A 15,806-nucleotide genomic window follows, 5' to 3' on the forward strand; every position below is an offset into this window, starting at 1 on the left:
TTTGGTCCCTCTGGATTATACCTCCCCTTTATGTACCATCAACCACCTTTAGTTTAGCATGACCAACAAAAGACCCCTGATAGCTCCCAGAACCTAGAGACAAACTAGAGAAAAACAATCTTACCAATAGTATGATTTCCATAAAGGAGCTGCTCCAAAATTGCAGTTTTCCCCACAGATAACAATCCACAAACCACAACCTTGCAGCCCTTTCCCATCTTCTCTCAGGATATCACTGTGGAGAGAATAACAGGTCTTTTAAATTGTATACTGTTGAAATTAACCATTTCTTTTTCTTTCAGTATTTCAATTTAATATGTAACACATGCACAGGGGAAATTTTCAAATACAGAAAAGGAGATATAGAATAAGGTATAGCCTTCCAAACCCCATTCCCCAGTCTCCCATTTCCTCCCTTAGAGCAATAAGCATTATCAGTTTCTTATATATCTCACGGAGACAATGTAGATAAATATAAGAATACAGGCCAGGCACAGTGGCTCATGCCTGCAATCCTACCACTTTGGGAGTCCAAGGCGGGTGGATCACCTGAGGTCAAGAGTTCGGCACCAGCCTGGCCAACATGGTGAAACCCCATCTCTACTAAAAATACAAAAATTAGCCAGGCGTGGTGGCACTCACCTGTAATCCCAGCTACTGGGGAGGCTGAGGCAGGAGAATCACTTGAACCCAGGGGGCGGAGGTTGCACTGAGCTGAGATTGCACCACTTCACTCCAGCCTGGGTGAAAGAGCTAGACTCTGTCTGAAAACAAACAAACAAAAAAACACATGGATAGGTATGAATACATCTTTGTTTTCAAAAAGAATAAATACATTTTATATGAAGAATATTTCAATACTGATTAAGTCTATAGCAATCCAACAGACTCTTAAATCCTTGAAAGAGACTGCCTACTCATCAATATTTACCTGGAAAAATAAACATTTAAGTAAAAATTTAAGGAGGCATGAGGATAAAGTTTTTAGAAAATGGACATGATTTTTCAAAGAAACATGAAAGTTTATGTCAGTCTTTTCTCGAGAAGGGAAGAAACTGGATTTTGGTAGTCACGTGGGCTTTTTTTTTTTTTTTGAGACAGGGTCTAGCTCTGTCACTCAGGCTGGAGTGCAGTGATGAGATTTCGGTTCACTGCAACCTCCGCTTCCCAAGGGCAAGCGATTCTCCTGCCTCAATCTCCCAAGTAGCTGGGATTACAGGTGCCTGCCACCATGCCCGGTGAAATTTTTGTATTTTTAGTAGAGACGGGGTTTCACTATGTTGGCCAGGATGGTCTCAAACTCCTGACCTCAAGTGATCCGCCTGCCTTGGCCTCCCAAAGTGCTACGATTACAGGCGTGAGCTACTGCGCCTGGCTGTCACGTGGGCTTTCTTAATCATATTTCTTTTTGAGGAAGAATAGACAACTCTAGAAAAATTGCCCATGCACAGGACTTCATGACTAAAACACCAAAAGCAATGGCAACAAAAGCCAAAATAGACGAATGGGATCTAATTAAACTAAAGAGCTTCTGCACAGCAAAAGAAACTACCATCAGAGTCAACAGGCAACCTACAGAATGGGAGATTTTTGCAATCTACCCATCTGACAAAGGGCTAATATCCAGAATCCACAAAGAACTTAAAAAAATTTATAAGAAAAAAACAAACAACCCCATCAAAAAGTGGGCGAAGGATATGAACAGACACTTCTCAAAAGAAGACATTTATGCAGCCAACAGACACATGAAAAAATGCTCATCATCACTGGCCATCAGAGAAATGCAAATCAAAACCACAATGAGATACCATCTCACGCCAATTAGAATGGTTATCATTAAAAAGTCAGGAAACAACAGGTGCTGGAGAGGATGTGGAGAAATAGGAACACTTTTACACTGTTGGTGGGACTGCAAACTAGCTCAGCCATTGTGGAAGACAGTGTGGCGATTTCTCAAAGATCTAGAACTAGAAATACCATTTGACCCAGTAATCCCATTACTGGGTATATACCCAAAGGATTATAAATCATGCTGCTATAAGGACACATGCACACGTATGTTTAATGGGGCACTATTCACAATAGCAAAGACTTGGAACCAACCCAAATGTCCATCAATGATAGACTGGATTAAGAAAATATGCCACATACGTCGGGCGCGGTGGCTCATGCCTGTAATCCCAGCACTTTGGGAGGCCAAGGTGGGCGGATCACGAGGTCAGGAGATTGAGACCATCCTGGCTAACATGGTGAAACCGTCTCTACTAAAAATACAAAAAATTAGGTGGGGCTTGCAGTGAGCCGAGATCATGCCACTGCACTCCAGCCTGGGTGACAGAGTGAGACTCCGTCTCAAAAAAAAAAAAAAAAAAAAAAAAGTAATACACTACAAATGTACTTTGATCACTCATTGATAATATGATTATCAGGATAATATAATTATCAGGATAATAGGATTAACAGACAACGTTTGCTAAAAATTATACATTGTTTTGTATTGTATGTATATATTAATAAATTGGGGAGTTCCTTTTGATATTACCAAAGAAGTCTTCATCATGGGCAAACGGTAAAAGTAACTGAATAAAAGTAGCTCAAAACACTAGCTAAGAATTTTAAGCATTTTTTGGAAGGAAAGCAAAGAGATGACAGAACAGACCTCATTAAATATTTTACACTATCAAAAAGAAAACAAAGATGAAAAGATAAGTGTGATTAATCAAAGCAGGCTGAAATATTCTAGGTTCCTGGTTGCCTTCCAAATAGGAAACAATACCACTACATAAAGCAGATGAGTGCCTTGCTACCATCAATTACAAAGTTAAGAATTCTTTAAAAAATAATTAACATTTTGAATAAATAACACATACACAAAAATACTTTATTTTCTATAAATGATCGCTATGGCAGGAACTCACATTACAAATAAGTGGTTCTCATGCTTAGATATTTTCAGATTTACAAATAAAAACTACTAAAAGTTTGGTTCTTAAAGCACTTATAATTATTTAATAATTCCCAAACACAATAAATGTACACCAGTTCCTGCGAAATATACAAAGGTGGTCATCTGCAGTACCCTGAATGGGCACTGAATCACATGAACCGATCCTGGGGTAACCAAGCCTCTTACTTAAATCTAGGTTTCAAGAATTTGAAAGGCTCTGTAGTACATGGGTCACCTTTAGGTTCCTTTCAACACTGTGATGCCATGATATTAGAAGTTGCTTATCCAGAGAATACATCAACACTGAGGTGAACACAAAAAGCAGTAGTTACAGCTACTTGTCACATCCCTACCCTAAGAAACTGGGCAATAAAATTCAATCTGTGACCTATTAAACCTCACCTGATGTAAATTACTAAGAGAACGTGCTTAATAGGCAAGATTCAGGGCAGTCTTAAATACTTATTGCTTTACTTTCCAGGCTAATCAATAACATTGCTAGAGAATAAATACAACCTCCTCTCTCCAACTTGAGGCTAAAAAAAAAAAAAAACAGAGAGTAAATATATGACCTGGTCCATTCCTGTGAAATGCTTTGTCAACATTTTCTTTGAAGAGCCATCAGAAACAGCTCCCCAAAACCGTTATTGCTTCTGTTCTTCTATGTAAGTGGGCCATTCTATTTTTATAAGTAAAACACAACTTTCTGACGCAACCAGAAAAACAATACCAAAACACTGTTAACATCATAGGAGAGATGTTATAAATCTCTAAAAATACTGTCATGTGGGGAAACCACCTACACTGTGTATTTACTTATGTCAACATTATGTATAGTGTGGAATACTTTCACTTATCCATATATGAATATATTTACATACATAAAAATATATTCAACAGGTTTTGCACACAGTATTGCACAAAATAAAATGTAATAAAGCAGATTCTAGCTTACCATTCTTTTATTCATTTACCAAACATTTACTGAGGGCCTGCCATCATGCCAGCCATCAGGGACAAACTAGGGGGCAAAAACAGAAATCATCCCTTGTCCTCAGGAATCTCAAAATCAACTGGAAACACAAATCCAAATCTTGTAAAACTGTTAACTGAGAAACTACAAATTGAGAAACAAAACTGCAAATGTGATTGATAAATTAGCAGTGATTATTCACACTACTAGAATTGTTTTTCCAAATGATTCATCCAACTTTTTAAATTTTATTTTTACTGCTCCTTTAGGAGCAGGACTACGCCCATAGGCAGCGTACCTACAGTAGCACATTCAACTTTTTAGTCATCCTCACCTTTGAAATACATACAGGGCTGCACTACTTACCATTTTCATCACTACTGAAGTGGTCTGGGTGAGGCACCATGTTCTCTCACCTGGTCTCTCAAAGATATCGTAATCCCCCAAACCTGTGAATATGTTTACTTTACATACTCATACAAGAATTTTGCGGGGGTGATTAAATTAAGAACTTCCATACGAAGATATTATCCTGAATTATCTAGGTGGGCCCAGTGTAATCACAAGTGTCTTTATAAGAGACACACAGGAGTGCTGGAGAGGACAGAAGGTGTAATTGGAAGATGCTCCTTTGCTGGCTGTGAAGATGAAGGAAGCAGTCAGGAGCCAAGGAATTCAGGCAGGCTTCATAAGGTGGAAAAGCCAAGGAAATAAATGTACTCTCCCCTAGTACCTCCAGAAGGAACACAGCCCTACTGACTTTGGTTTTAGCTTGGTGATATTTACAGATTTACAGACCTAGTCTGATGTACAAACTAAAAGACGGTAAATTTGTATTATTAACCAACAAAGTTGCTGAAATTTGTTACAGGAGCAATGGAAGACTAACACAATTTCCTAAGCAGTCTCTCTGCTTCCATTTTTTCTCTCCTTTTAGCCTCAAAAGGAGCAATCCGAGTTATCTTTTTAAAATGTACGCCATATGAAGTCATCCTTCTGTTCAAAATCTGCCAATGAAATCCAAAGTCCATGTGAGAACCTTCACCTCTCCGACGTCATTTCCCACTTTCCCCTACTGTGAATTTCAGCCACACTGCTTCCCTGCTGTTCCTCTATTAATCTTGCATGCTCCAGTCATGGCTCTTCTCCCTCTGCCTGAATCAGACCCCTACTCTTACTCCCAGACTCCTATCCTTGAAGTCCTTTCTTAAATGTTACCTTCTCTCAAAGACTTAACCTGGACACTCCATTCCAAATTGCAACCCTCAGCCGCTAACACTCCCTCATCACTTCCCTCCCCTTATCTTTTTTCCTTAGCATTTACCACCAAACCCAAAACACAGCTTACTTCTGCTTACTGCCCATTTCCAAGAAGGCCAAAAATTCTGCGTTGTTTCCTGCTGCATCCCCAGCAACTATGCCTGGCACATATTAGACACTTAATAAATATTTGTTGAATCAATCAATGAACCAGATAGAGACTCTTAAAAACGTAAAGCTGTGATTTAAAAAGAAAGAAAGAAAAATATGATGTGGGAAAAAAGATAATCAAAACCGCTACGATTAAGAGATAATGATTCTCTTAAGCCTTTGCCACATCTGAACGCATAATCTGGAAGGAAATTAAAGCCACATGACTTAAATTAAAGCCAAGTGAAAATATTCTGGAGAAACAAAGTAAGCCAGTAACCTATTTCTCAATTTAAAAAAAAACCCGCAACGCAAAATGCCAGCATTTTCTCGGCATTTCTTCTCTAAAACATTCACACCTGCCAAACAGGTCTTGGCAAATAAACATTCTGCTCTTCTGAAAAACTGTGGTTCTCATGTTAGCAAATTTGGGACGAAATCCGTATGCAGAAAAAGCGCCGGGCCGCCCGCAATCCACCCACTCCATGACCCTTTTTTAGGACAAAATCCCTGGGCGCTGGGGCCTGCTGGAGGAGCTTCACGCAGTCTGGAGCTGAAGGGACACAGCGAGCGCCCCGACCCGCGACGCCCCGACTCCGCGAAGGCCTCCCTGGGAGGCTGGGGAAGCGTCGGGGGATCTCTCAGCGCAGCTCTGGGGCCCAGATTTCTGCGCCCGTCGTGCGGTGGCCAGAGAGGGACAGCGCAGCGCGGAGACGCGGAGACGCAGAGACTCCGCAGGGGGAGAGCCCGCGGTGCGTGAAACAAACCTGTTCTCTCCTCAGACCTCAAAGACAGCGGCTCCACCGCGGTACGCGGCCACCGGCTTTGGAGCCTGGACCCCAACTTGCCTCCTCTCGCGGAGAGACAGTCGCCGACGCTCGCTTAGCCGCCGAGACCTCGCCGCCAACTCTCTCACCTCTCGAGACGCCCAGGCCGCTCAGGCTCGAATCTTGCGGAGCAGGGGGCGGGACAATAGCGGCCGCGGCGCCCCACTCGGCAGAACTCCGCCACCAGGCGCGATGCCGGAACTACATGTCCCATGACGCTCTGGGAGGCCGCAGCTTTCCACCGGAAAGAGGGTGGCTGAGGTGGGGGAGGAGCCCAAAAGGCATTGTGGGAGTACAGCTCTTTCCTTTCCGTCTGGCGGCAGCCATCAGGTAGGCTGCGTTGAGGATCTTTGCTCTTCCATCCGCCTTTGATCGTCTTCCTCTTCAGCCATCCAGGTCCGGGGACCCTGCGTCCTCGGAGATAGGTCTCCCTCCTGTGCGGCCAGAGTTTGGTCAGGATGCGGGACAGCAAAGGGGTGGAGAGGCGGCCCCCGGGGCGGGTTGAGCGAAGATGTGATGGCGGCGCGAATTCGAGCTGGGCCCGGATCCTGGAGGAGGCGTGGGGCTGACGAATGGGGCGCCCGGGACAAGGCAGCCTAAAGTGAGGCTGCTGGTTGGGTGGGGTAGATGCATTTTCCTCGAGAGTTAATCCTCGGTGGCCGCAGCAGTACCTTGTCCTGTGATGTCAGCGGCATCTCCTTTCAGGTCCTCCTTGGGGACGCCGCCTGCCGCAGCCACCCGCCCCCTTGGTGCTCAGTTCTGGTTCTGTTAATTCGCCCCACCAAAACGTGCCGAGCACCGCTCTGTGCTGGGGTTGCGGAAGTGACTGAACGCGGCTCCGTGGGCGCAGTGGTGGGGGTTGGGCTAGCTGTCCCCGGCAGTTGGTGCAGAGCCATTTTCATTCCCGGCGGTTTCCTTGTTTTTGTTGGGGAACTAAGATGGACGGATACAGTCGTCTTATTGTACTTAAAGCGGATGATATTTAATACACAGTTTGATTTCACAGGTAAGCCAAGATGGGTGCATACAAGTACATCCAGGAGCTATGGAGAAAGAAGCAGTCTGATGTCATGCGCTTTCTTCTGAGGGTCCGCTGCTGGCAGTACCGCCAGCTCTCTGCTCTCCACAGGGCTCCCCGCCCCACCCGGCCTGATAAAGCGCGCCGACTGGGCTACAAGGCCAAGCAAGGTACGTGATCGACTGCGTGGATGCTTGGATAAAATTATATTCGAGAAAAGTTGGAAACCAGCTGTTAGGAAGACACTGCTGCCTCAGTGTCTTTCTTCGCATAGGGCTTTGGCAGAAAAAAGCTAGCAACACTGGTCAGTTACTGTATGCACTGTTGTCTAAAGTGGCAAGTGTGTCAAAGGTTACAAATCTGAATGAGTTCAGACTAAAGCAAAATAAACAGTGTGCCTCCCTGTGTGAGTAGCCTAAGGTGCATTGAAAAAGACTGGGATGTGTTTTATTTTTTTCTATTAGATAGCATTAACTTACTGTTGAAGTATTTTTGGTGGAGTATTAGTGACAAGCCATTGAGTCTTAAGCCTTACGGCTTCCTATAAAATCACTAATTTCGTGTGTGTTTGTGTGTAGGTTACGTTATATATAGGATTCGTGTTCGCCGTGGTGGCCGAAAACGCCCAGTTCCTAAGGGTGCAACTTACGGCAAGCCTGTCCATCATGGTGTTAACCAGCTAAAGTTTGCTCGAAGCCTTCAGTCCGTTGCAGAGGTAAATGGTTTTGAGTAGCAGTTATATTGAATACTGCCTGGGGATGGTGGGAGAGAGAGATTAAGCAACTTTTCTGATTGTACTTAGGTGAGCTGTCTCGTATATAAAACAGGGTTTGTGATTTTTACTAATCTTGGTGAAGAGTAATTGCTTGAAAGACTTGTCTTTGTTACAAATGCGTGTGTATATACTGGAAGTACTTGTGGAACCTAAGCTTTAAAGCGGCAAGAATATGCAGAAGAGACCAAATGTGGCCTGCACAGCCTAAAATATATACTAAATATTTTTAAAGCTAAACGTTGCTGAGCTCTCAGTTGTATGGAAAAAGATAAGGTCCCCAAACCCTAAATTTTGTTACCCAGATATTAACATATTCCTGCCCTAGTCAGGAATGGAGTATTAAGAGGGAATGATGTGTTTCAGTCTATGTGTGTTGTTTTAGCAAGTCTACATTATCTCATTACACTTGTGATAGTCTAGGGAGAAATGCTTAGTAAATAACTTGAGTAGTAAAAGACTCTTGTCTGGTGGTGAACTAGAGTTGAGAATTAAAATTCTTTCTGACTTGCTGCTATAGGCAATGTGGGAGATTGACCTTGGGCCTTTTTTCCTATTCTAGGAGCGAGCTGGACGCCACTGTGGGGCTCTGAGAGTCCTGAATTCTTACTGGGTTGGTGAAGATTCCACATACAAATTTTTTGAGGTTATCCTCATTGATCCATTCCATAAAGCTATCAGAAGAAATCCTGACACCCAGTGGATCACCAAACCAGTCCACAAGCACAGGGAGATGCGTGGGCTGACATCTGCAGGCCGAAAGAGCCGTGGCCTTGGAAAGGGCCACAAGTTCCACCACACTATTGGTGGCTCTCGCCGGGCAGCTTGGAGAAGGCGCAATACTCTCCAGCTCCACCGTTACCGCTAATATAAGTAAAGTTTGTAAAATTCATACTTAATAAACAATTTAGGACAGTCATGTCTGCTTACAGGTGTTATTTGTCTGTTAAAACTAGTCTGCAGATGTTTCTTGAATGCTTTGTCAAATTAAGAAAGTTAAAGTGCAATAATGTTTGAAGACAATAAGTGGTGGTGTATCTTGTTTCTAATAAGATAAACTTTTTTGTCTTTGCTTTATCTTATTAGGGAGTTGTATGTCAGTGTATAAAACATACTGTGTGGTATAACAGGCTTAATAAATTCTTTAAAAGGAGAGAACTGAAACTAGCCCTGTAGATTTGTCTGGTGCATGTGATGAAACCTGCAGCTTTATCGGAGTGATGGCAATGCTCTGCTGGTTTATTTTCAAGTGGCTGCGTTTTTTTTAGTTTGGCAGGTGTAGACTTTTTAAGTTGGGCTTTAGAAAATCTGGGTTAGCCTGAAGAAAATTGCCTCAGCCTCCACAGTACCATTTTAAATTCACATAAAAGGTGAAAGCTCCTGGTTCAGTGCCATGGCTTCATGGCATTCAGTGATTAGTGGTAATGGTAAACACTGGTGTGTTTTGAAGTTGAATGTGCGATAAAATTATTAGCCTTAAGATTGGTAAGCTAGCAATGAATGCTAGGGTGGGAAGCTGGTGAGCCAGTGGCCATTAGATAAATACCTTTCAAGTGTGAGCTTAGACGTCAACCCTAAAATACTTAACCGTAATGCTAATTGTGATCATTATGAATCCCTTCAGTCACATTAGGGGGAAAGTAGTTGGCTATAAGTACGTCATTCTTAGTCCAGTCAGTCTTAAAAACATCTTGGGTTACCCACTCTGTCCACTCCCATAGGCTACAGAAAAAGTCACAAGCGCATGGTTTCCAACCATATGTGTTTTCTGCAGTTATTTCTCTTGTTCTGGCCAAACAACCCTAAAAATCCTTACCATTCCACAAAGTTGGACCATCACTTGTGCACCCACTTTGACTATGAGTATACCACCACATTGCATTTCTGTTTGCACCATGTCTTCCAGGAGACTAGACTACTGTTGTCCAGGGTCAATTTGAGTGTAAAGAAAATGTAGACAAGGAATTGCCCAATTTTAAATTCTGACTTTGCTGACTTAATTTAAATGCTCGTTCTGAACCAATTTTCTCCTATCTTCTCTAGGGGTTTCAAAAGACTCAGTTAATTGATTTCCAGGAAGTACTCATAGCAAGTTCATAAAAGTTCTTGAGACCTAAATTTCTTCACAAAAAAAGAAAAGATCTTAAGTCATACATTTTAATTGTGTAGAGGTTGTTCAACTGAAGGAATAAATGTCTATTAAACTAAAACAAATGGACCTTCTGTTATTTTTTGTCATCTTACAGTGCTAATGTACTTTAAAGCAAACCAAATGCCCTAACCAGCAAAAAGGCATCAAAATGTGATTATAGAAATAATATAATTTGAGATAGCATAAAATGTACTTATTCTCTCAGTTCTTTGATCATTGCATGAATTAGGTTTTTATCTAAAACTGTTCAGCTGGGTGTGGTGGCTCAGGCCTGTAATCCTGGCACTTTGGGAGACAAGCTGGAGGATTTGTTGAGGCCAGCCTGGGCAGCATAGTGAGACCTAAAAACAAAAAAAATCCTTAAACATGACTAATTTGGGAAGGAGAGAAAGGGTTCGGGCCAAAGGTCAGCATTGTCTCTACAAGAAAACCTTGTTCCTGTCCTTGCTACCCAACAGTTTTATCTCCACACAGTAGTCCAAGGGATCCTATTAAATTGATCATGGCACTCCCGTGCAAAAAAATCAAAAGTCCTCATGATAGCTTTCATGATCTTCCCACTTTATGTGTGACCTCATGTCCTACTGCAGTCCACACCCCAGGCTCCTTGCTGTTTGTTCTTCAAATACACCAAACACTTCCTAATGCCTTTATGATGGGAAAGCTTTACTCCAATATTAAGGGTCACTTTATTAGCTATACCCTGACCGCCCCACAAGCTGTTCCCATTTGCTTTACTATTTCTATATTGGCATGTAATTCACACAGCAACATTGATTATTGAGTTTTTTTTTTTTTTTTTTTTTTTCCAGATGGAGTCTCACTCTCACTCAGGTGGGAGTGCAGTGGGGCAATCACGGCTCACTGCAACCTCTGTCTCCCGGGTTTGAGCAATTCTTCTGCCTCGGCCTCCCAAATAGCCAGGACTACAGGCGCACACTGCCATGCCCAGCTAAGTTTTGTATTTTTAGTAGAGACTGGGTTTCACTATGTTGGCCAGGCTGGTCTCGAACTCCTGACCTCAAGTGATCCACCTGCCTTGGCCTCCCAAAGTGCTGGGATTACAGGCGTGAGCCACCACCCCCAGCCCAATTTTTATTTTTTGTACAGACAGGATCTCACTATGTTGCCCAGGTTGGTCTCAAACTACTGGCCTCAAGCAATCCTGCCTTGGCCTCCCAAAGTGCTGGAATTATAGGAATGAGCCACCACACCGGGCCCAAATTTACTTTAGTAATAACAACAATTGGCTGGGTGCGGTGGCTCACGCCTGCAATCCCAACACTTTCGGTAACCAAGGTGGGCTTGAGCTCATGAGTTAGAGAGCAGCCTGAGCAACGTGGTGAGAGCCCATCTCACAAAAAATAACAAATCAGCTGGGCATGGTGTTGCACGCCTGTAGTCTCCGAAATCACACCACTGCACTCCCATCTTGGGTGATAGAGCCAGAACTTGTCTCAAAAATAACAATTGGTTTCTTACAATCCCAAAAGGTGCAGTTACTAGTATTAATCCTTTTTTGCCAATGAGGAAACACAAAGATGAAGCAACTTGCTCAAAGTCATACAGTGACAGTCTGAATTCAAATCCTATACACTTAAAGTTTATTTGTTTTGTTTTGGTTTTTTTTGAGATGGAGTCTCACTGTGTCGCAAGGCTGGAGTGCAGTGGCACGATCTCAGCTCACTGCAACCCGGGTTCAAGCGATTCTCCTGCCTCAGCCTCCCGAGTAGCTGGGACTACAGGCACGCACCACCACACCCAGCTAATTTTTGTATTTTTAGTAGAGACGGTTTCACCATGTTGGCCAGGATGGTCTCGAGCTCCTGACCTCAGGTGATCCTCCCGCCTTGGCCTCCCAAAGTGCCGGGATTACAGGTGTCAGCCACTGCACGTGGCCAACTTAAAGTTTTTGATAGATAATACATTAACGTTAAAAATTCAAAAGATAAGTATAGGCTCTACAGTACAAACCCTTCTGCCTCCTAGTTCCTCTCCCTGGAGGCAAGGTGATCAGTTTAACAATATTTTTTTATTTTGAGACAGGGTCTCACTGTTGCCCAGGCTGGAGTGTAGTGGCGCGTTCACAACTTACTGTAGCCTCAACCTCCTGGCTCAAGCAATCCTCCCACCTCAGCCTGTCGAGTAGCTGGAACCACAGGTGCACACCACCATGCCAGGCTAATTTTTGTATTTTTTGTAGAGACAGGGTTTCACCATGTTGTTCAGGCTGGTCTCAAAGTCCTGGGCTCAAGCAATCTTCCTGTCTCTGCTTCCCAAAGTGCTGGGATTACAGATGTGGGCCACGGTGCCTGGCCTACATATGTATTTTTTCCTTTTCTTCCCCAAGTGGTAGGATATGATACACATTGTTGATTTTTTTGTTTAGTTATGTATCTCAGAGCTTATTCTTTATCAGCTCATGAGGAACTTCATTTTTTTTTTTTTTTTTGAGATGTAGTTTTGCTCTTATAGCCCAGGTTGGAGTACAGTAACACAATCTTGGCTCGCAGCAACTTCTGCCTCCCAGGTTCAAGCGATTCTCCTGCCTCAGCCTCCGAGTAGCTAGGATTACAGGTGCCTGCCACTACATCCAGCTATTTTTGTATTTTCAGTAGAGACGGGGTTTCACCATTTTGGCCAAGCTGGTCTCGAACTCCTGACCTCAGGTGATCCGCCCATCTCAGCCTCCCAAAGTAGTGGGATTACAGGCATGAGCAACCGTGCCCGGCTGGAACTTCATTCTTTTGGTATAACTGCATGGTATCCCATCATGTGGATGTACCATGATTCATTGGATGTGGACCCTCCTGATGGACATTTAAATTTCTTCCAATCTGTTGCTATTACAAAAAGAAAAATGTGTGCATACATCTTTATTCATCTGTAGAATAAATTCTTAGAAGTAGAATGGCAGAGTTAAAAATTGTATGTATATAATTTTTTATAGATATTGCCAAATTGTCTTCCATAAAAGTTGAACCAATTTTCACTACCACCAGCAAAGTAGGAGAGGACTTGTTTATCCACACCCTCTTTAATGTATGTAATCAAATTTTGGGATATCTGCCAGTCTGTTAGGGGGAAATGATACTCTTCTCTACTTTTATTTTGCATTCTGAGTGTGGCAGAGGCAAAGCTATGTGCATACCATAGCTTTTTCTCCCCCTGAAAACACAACTAAACTACATTGTTTTCCTGGCCTCTCATGCATTTAGGTTGGGGTCATATTACTTCCCTCCAAGAAAAACAACAGTTGGTATGCCTCCTCCACACTTCCCACAACTGTGGAAGCCAGTGATCCAGATAGCATAGCTATTAATACAAGATGGGTGAAAGCTGCTCAACCGCATCAGACAGCATGAGTGGTAAGATTTTATTGTGTCAAACGACTGCATTAGTTGTGTTTTGTTATTATGGCAGCATAGCCTAGCTTAGCCCTAACTAATTCAATAAATAAAGTTGAGCATTATTTGTACATTTAAAAGCGTTTTTTATGTTTGCTTTACAGTGGCTTTCCACTTTTCTATCAGAGAATCCCCCCTCCCTTATGTACCATGCTATATTAATAAATTGGAAGGAGCTGCTAGCTCATTTCTCCTATGCTTCATAATTTTTCTGCTCATGAGATTCTTATTTTTTGAGACGAGTCTCTGTCACCCAGGCTGGAGTACAGTAGCACGATCTCAGCTCACTGCAACCTCCACCTTCTGGGTTCAAGTGATTTTCATGCCTCAGCCTCCCAAGTAGCTGGGATTACAGGTGTGCGCCACTACTAATTTTTTTGTACTTTTAGTAGAGGCGGGTTTGCACCATGTTTGCCAGGCTGGTCTATTACCCCTGATCTCAGGTGATCTGCGCCCGTCTTGGCCTCCCAAAGTGCTGGGATTACAGGAATAAGCCACCAAGCCTGGCCCTGCTCATAAGATTCTTGAAGGTAACTTTATGTAGAATAAATTCTTCAAATTTCAACTGTTCATTTTCGCCTTTCAATTCTAAGTTCTGATTTCATCTTTAAGTTCTGAAATTCCTAAACCAAATTAGTAGCTATATTGTATCAGGCAGACTAAATGAGGCAACAGTAATAGCCTCCAAATTTCAGTGGCTTAAAATAATAAAGATTTGTTTCTTGATCATACTTCATGTATGTTAAAGATTGTTCTCACTCTAGAATCCAGACTGTTAGAACAGACACTATCTGGAACATTGCGAGGTGTCCATGGCAGAGGGCAAAGAGCATGGCGTAGAACACCCTAACCTGTAAAGCTTCTGCTCAGGTTGTCCCATGGCTACTCCTGGGTTCAAAGGGTGGGGAAGTGATATCTTCCAGTGCTTGGAAGGAGAGAGAGAATCAAATATTTGTGAACAGCTCTAATGTCTACCACATACACTAATCCATTTCGTTTCTCTTTAGTCTTTGTACCCATTTGAAGTATTATGGAAAACAGCTAGTATACCAAGGAGAAAGCAGGAACCAGCGCAGTCCACACTGGTAGAGAGAGTATTTTGTCACTGACATTGCTTAGCATTGCCAGAATATGATGATGTTGAAAAAGAACATACTGAGACTGGGCTTGGTGGCTCACACCTGTAATCCTAGCACATTGGAAGGCCGAGGCAGGCGGATTGCTTGAGCTCAGGAGTTTGAGACCAGCCTGGGCAAGATGGCGAAACCCGTCTCTATTAAAAATACAAAAAATTAGCTGGGCACAGTGGCATGCGCCTGTGGTTCCAGCTACTCAGGAGGCTAAGGTGGGAGAATCACCTGAGCTTGGGAAGTTGAAGCTGCGGTGAGCCAAGACTGCGCCACTGCACTTCAGCCTGGTTGACAGAGTAAGACTCTGTCTCAAAAAAATAAATAAATAAATAAATAAATGTACTTTTACTCAGTTTTTGTTGTTTTACAATTCTCCTACAGACAATGCATTCCCTTATTGAGTTAATTCATTTGGTAAAATATGGTTATCTGCATACAACTCTGCAACCAATTCATTTGACACTTTATTATGTGATAGCTTCCTTGCTGTATACCCACAAATATTCACTGAAAAATACTTTAGCTGTATGCTTTTCAATATGATAGCCACTAGCCATCTGTGACTTTTAAAATTTAAATAGGATTTAAAAGTCAGTTCTCCAGTCATATTAGTTACATTTCAAATGCTCAGTGGGCACATTGGCTACCACGTTGGACAGCACAGAAAATATTTTGACCATCACAGAAATTTCTGTTGTATAGTGCCAATTTATTTATTTTTATTTTTATTTATTTATTTATTTTTTGAGACAGCGTCTTGCTCTGTCGCCCAGGCTGGAGTGCAGTGGCACAATCTTGGCTCACTGTAACCTCTGCCTCCCAGGTTCAAGCAATTCTCCCTGCCTCAGCCTCCCAAGTAGCTGGGATTACAGGCACCCGCCACCACGCCCAGCTAATTTTTGTGTTTTTAGTAGAGACAGGGTTTCGCCGTGTTGGCCAGGCTGGTCTCAAACGCCTGACCTTAGGTGATCCACCTGCCTTGGACTCCCAAAGTGCTGGGATTATAGGTATGAGCCATGGCGCCCGGCCATAGTACTGACTTAGACCCTTGAAATTCTTCTTTATTTCTTCTTCTTTCTTCTTCCTCCTCCTCCTTCCTCCTCCTCCTCTTGCTCCTCGTCCTCCTCTTCTCTCTTTTTTCTCTTCTTCCTCTTTCTCTCCTTCTCTTTC

At 42.9% G+C, this 15,806-nt stretch overlaps 2 protein-coding genes across 33 annotated transcripts in view, besides 4 other annotated features; one reads left to right on the top strand and one right to left on the bottom strand.

Moving 5' to 3' along the window:
- The window catches only part of NKIRAS1 (NFKB inhibitor interacting Ras like 1), a 56,612-nt gene that overhangs the window by 20,736 nt on the left and 20,070 nt on the right, over nucleotides 1-15,806 (bottom strand). For 6 of the 27 annotated variants that reach the window (NM_001377369.1, NM_020345.4, NM_001377368.1 and 3 more), the window contains exons 1-3: nucleotides 6,098-6,304; nucleotides 643-764; nucleotides 125-235 (exon numbers count right to left, since the gene is read on the bottom strand). In NM_001377369.1, the coding sequence (NP_001364298.1) occupies nucleotides 125-218 (94 nt within the window). In that variant the 5' untranslated portion in view covers nucleotides 219-235; nucleotides 643-764; nucleotides 6,098-6,304. Of the gene's footprint in view, nucleotides 1-124; nucleotides 236-642; nucleotides 765-3,349; nucleotides 3,484-3,902; nucleotides 3,969-4,286; nucleotides 4,928-5,268; nucleotides 6,041-6,097; nucleotides 6,370-15,806 lie in introns of those variants that run through there. The other 21 variants (NM_001377352.1, NM_001377370.1, NM_001377353.1 and 18 more) reach the window with 19 other exon arrangements.
- RPL15 (ribosomal protein L15) lies at nucleotides 5,859-13,945 on the top strand. Of its 6 annotated transcripts, NM_001253384.2 has the most exons (5): nucleotides 5,859-6,487; nucleotides 7,164-7,345; nucleotides 7,754-7,890; nucleotides 8,510-8,560; nucleotides 10,912-13,945. In NM_001253384.2, exons 2-5 carry the CDS (start codon nucleotides 7,174-7,176, stop codon nucleotides 10,987-10,989), a joined length of 438 nt encoding a protein of 145 aa, NP_001240313.1. In that variant the 5' UTR covers nucleotides 5,859-6,487; nucleotides 7,164-7,173; the 3' UTR covers nucleotides 10,990-13,945. The 6 variants fall into 6 exon arrangements, with proteins under 6 accessions (NP_001240313.1, NP_001240308.1, NP_001240311.1 ...); NM_001253379.2 differs by lacking the exon at nucleotides 10,912-13,945 and having other exon boundaries at nucleotides 7,151-7,345; nucleotides 8,510-10,291; NM_001253382.2 differs by lacking the exon at nucleotides 10,912-13,945 and having other exon boundaries at nucleotides 6,412-6,609; nucleotides 8,510-10,291.
- Nucleotides 5,908-6,707: an enhancer, noted in NCBI's record as "active region_19606". NCBI's record gives its function as "activates an Ori minimal core promoter by ATAC-STARR-seq in GM12878 lymphoblastoid cells {active_cell/tissue: GM12878}" and the evidence as "EXISTENCE:reporter gene assay evidence [ECO:0000049][PMID:35858748]".
- Nucleotides 5,908-7,187: a biological region, named in NCBI's record as "CDK7 strongly-dependent group 2 enhancer GRCh37_chr3:23958136-23959335".
- Nucleotides 5,959-7,158: an enhancer, noted in NCBI's record as "CDK7 strongly-dependent group 2 enhancer chr3:23958136-23959335 (GRCh37/hg19 assembly coordinates)". NCBI's record gives its function as "activates an origin of replication core promoter dependent on BRD2, BRD4, P300/CBP, MED14 and CDK7 cofactors, with strong dependence on CDK7, by STARR-seq in HCT116 cells {active_cell/tissue: HCT116}" and the evidence as "EXISTENCE:reporter gene assay evidence [ECO:0000049][PMID:35650434]".
- Nucleotides 7,088-7,187: an enhancer, noted in NCBI's record as "active region_19607". NCBI's record gives its function as "activates an Ori minimal core promoter by ATAC-STARR-seq in GM12878 lymphoblastoid cells {active_cell/tissue: GM12878}" and the evidence as "EXISTENCE:reporter gene assay evidence [ECO:0000049][PMID:35858748]".

Source organism: Homo sapiens, chromosome 3 (assembly GCF_000001405.40).
Source record: "Homo sapiens chromosome 3, GRCh38.p14 Primary Assembly".
In the NCBI taxonomy this organism is placed as follows: domain Eukaryota; kingdom Metazoa; phylum Chordata; class Mammalia; order Primates; family Hominidae; genus Homo; species Homo sapiens.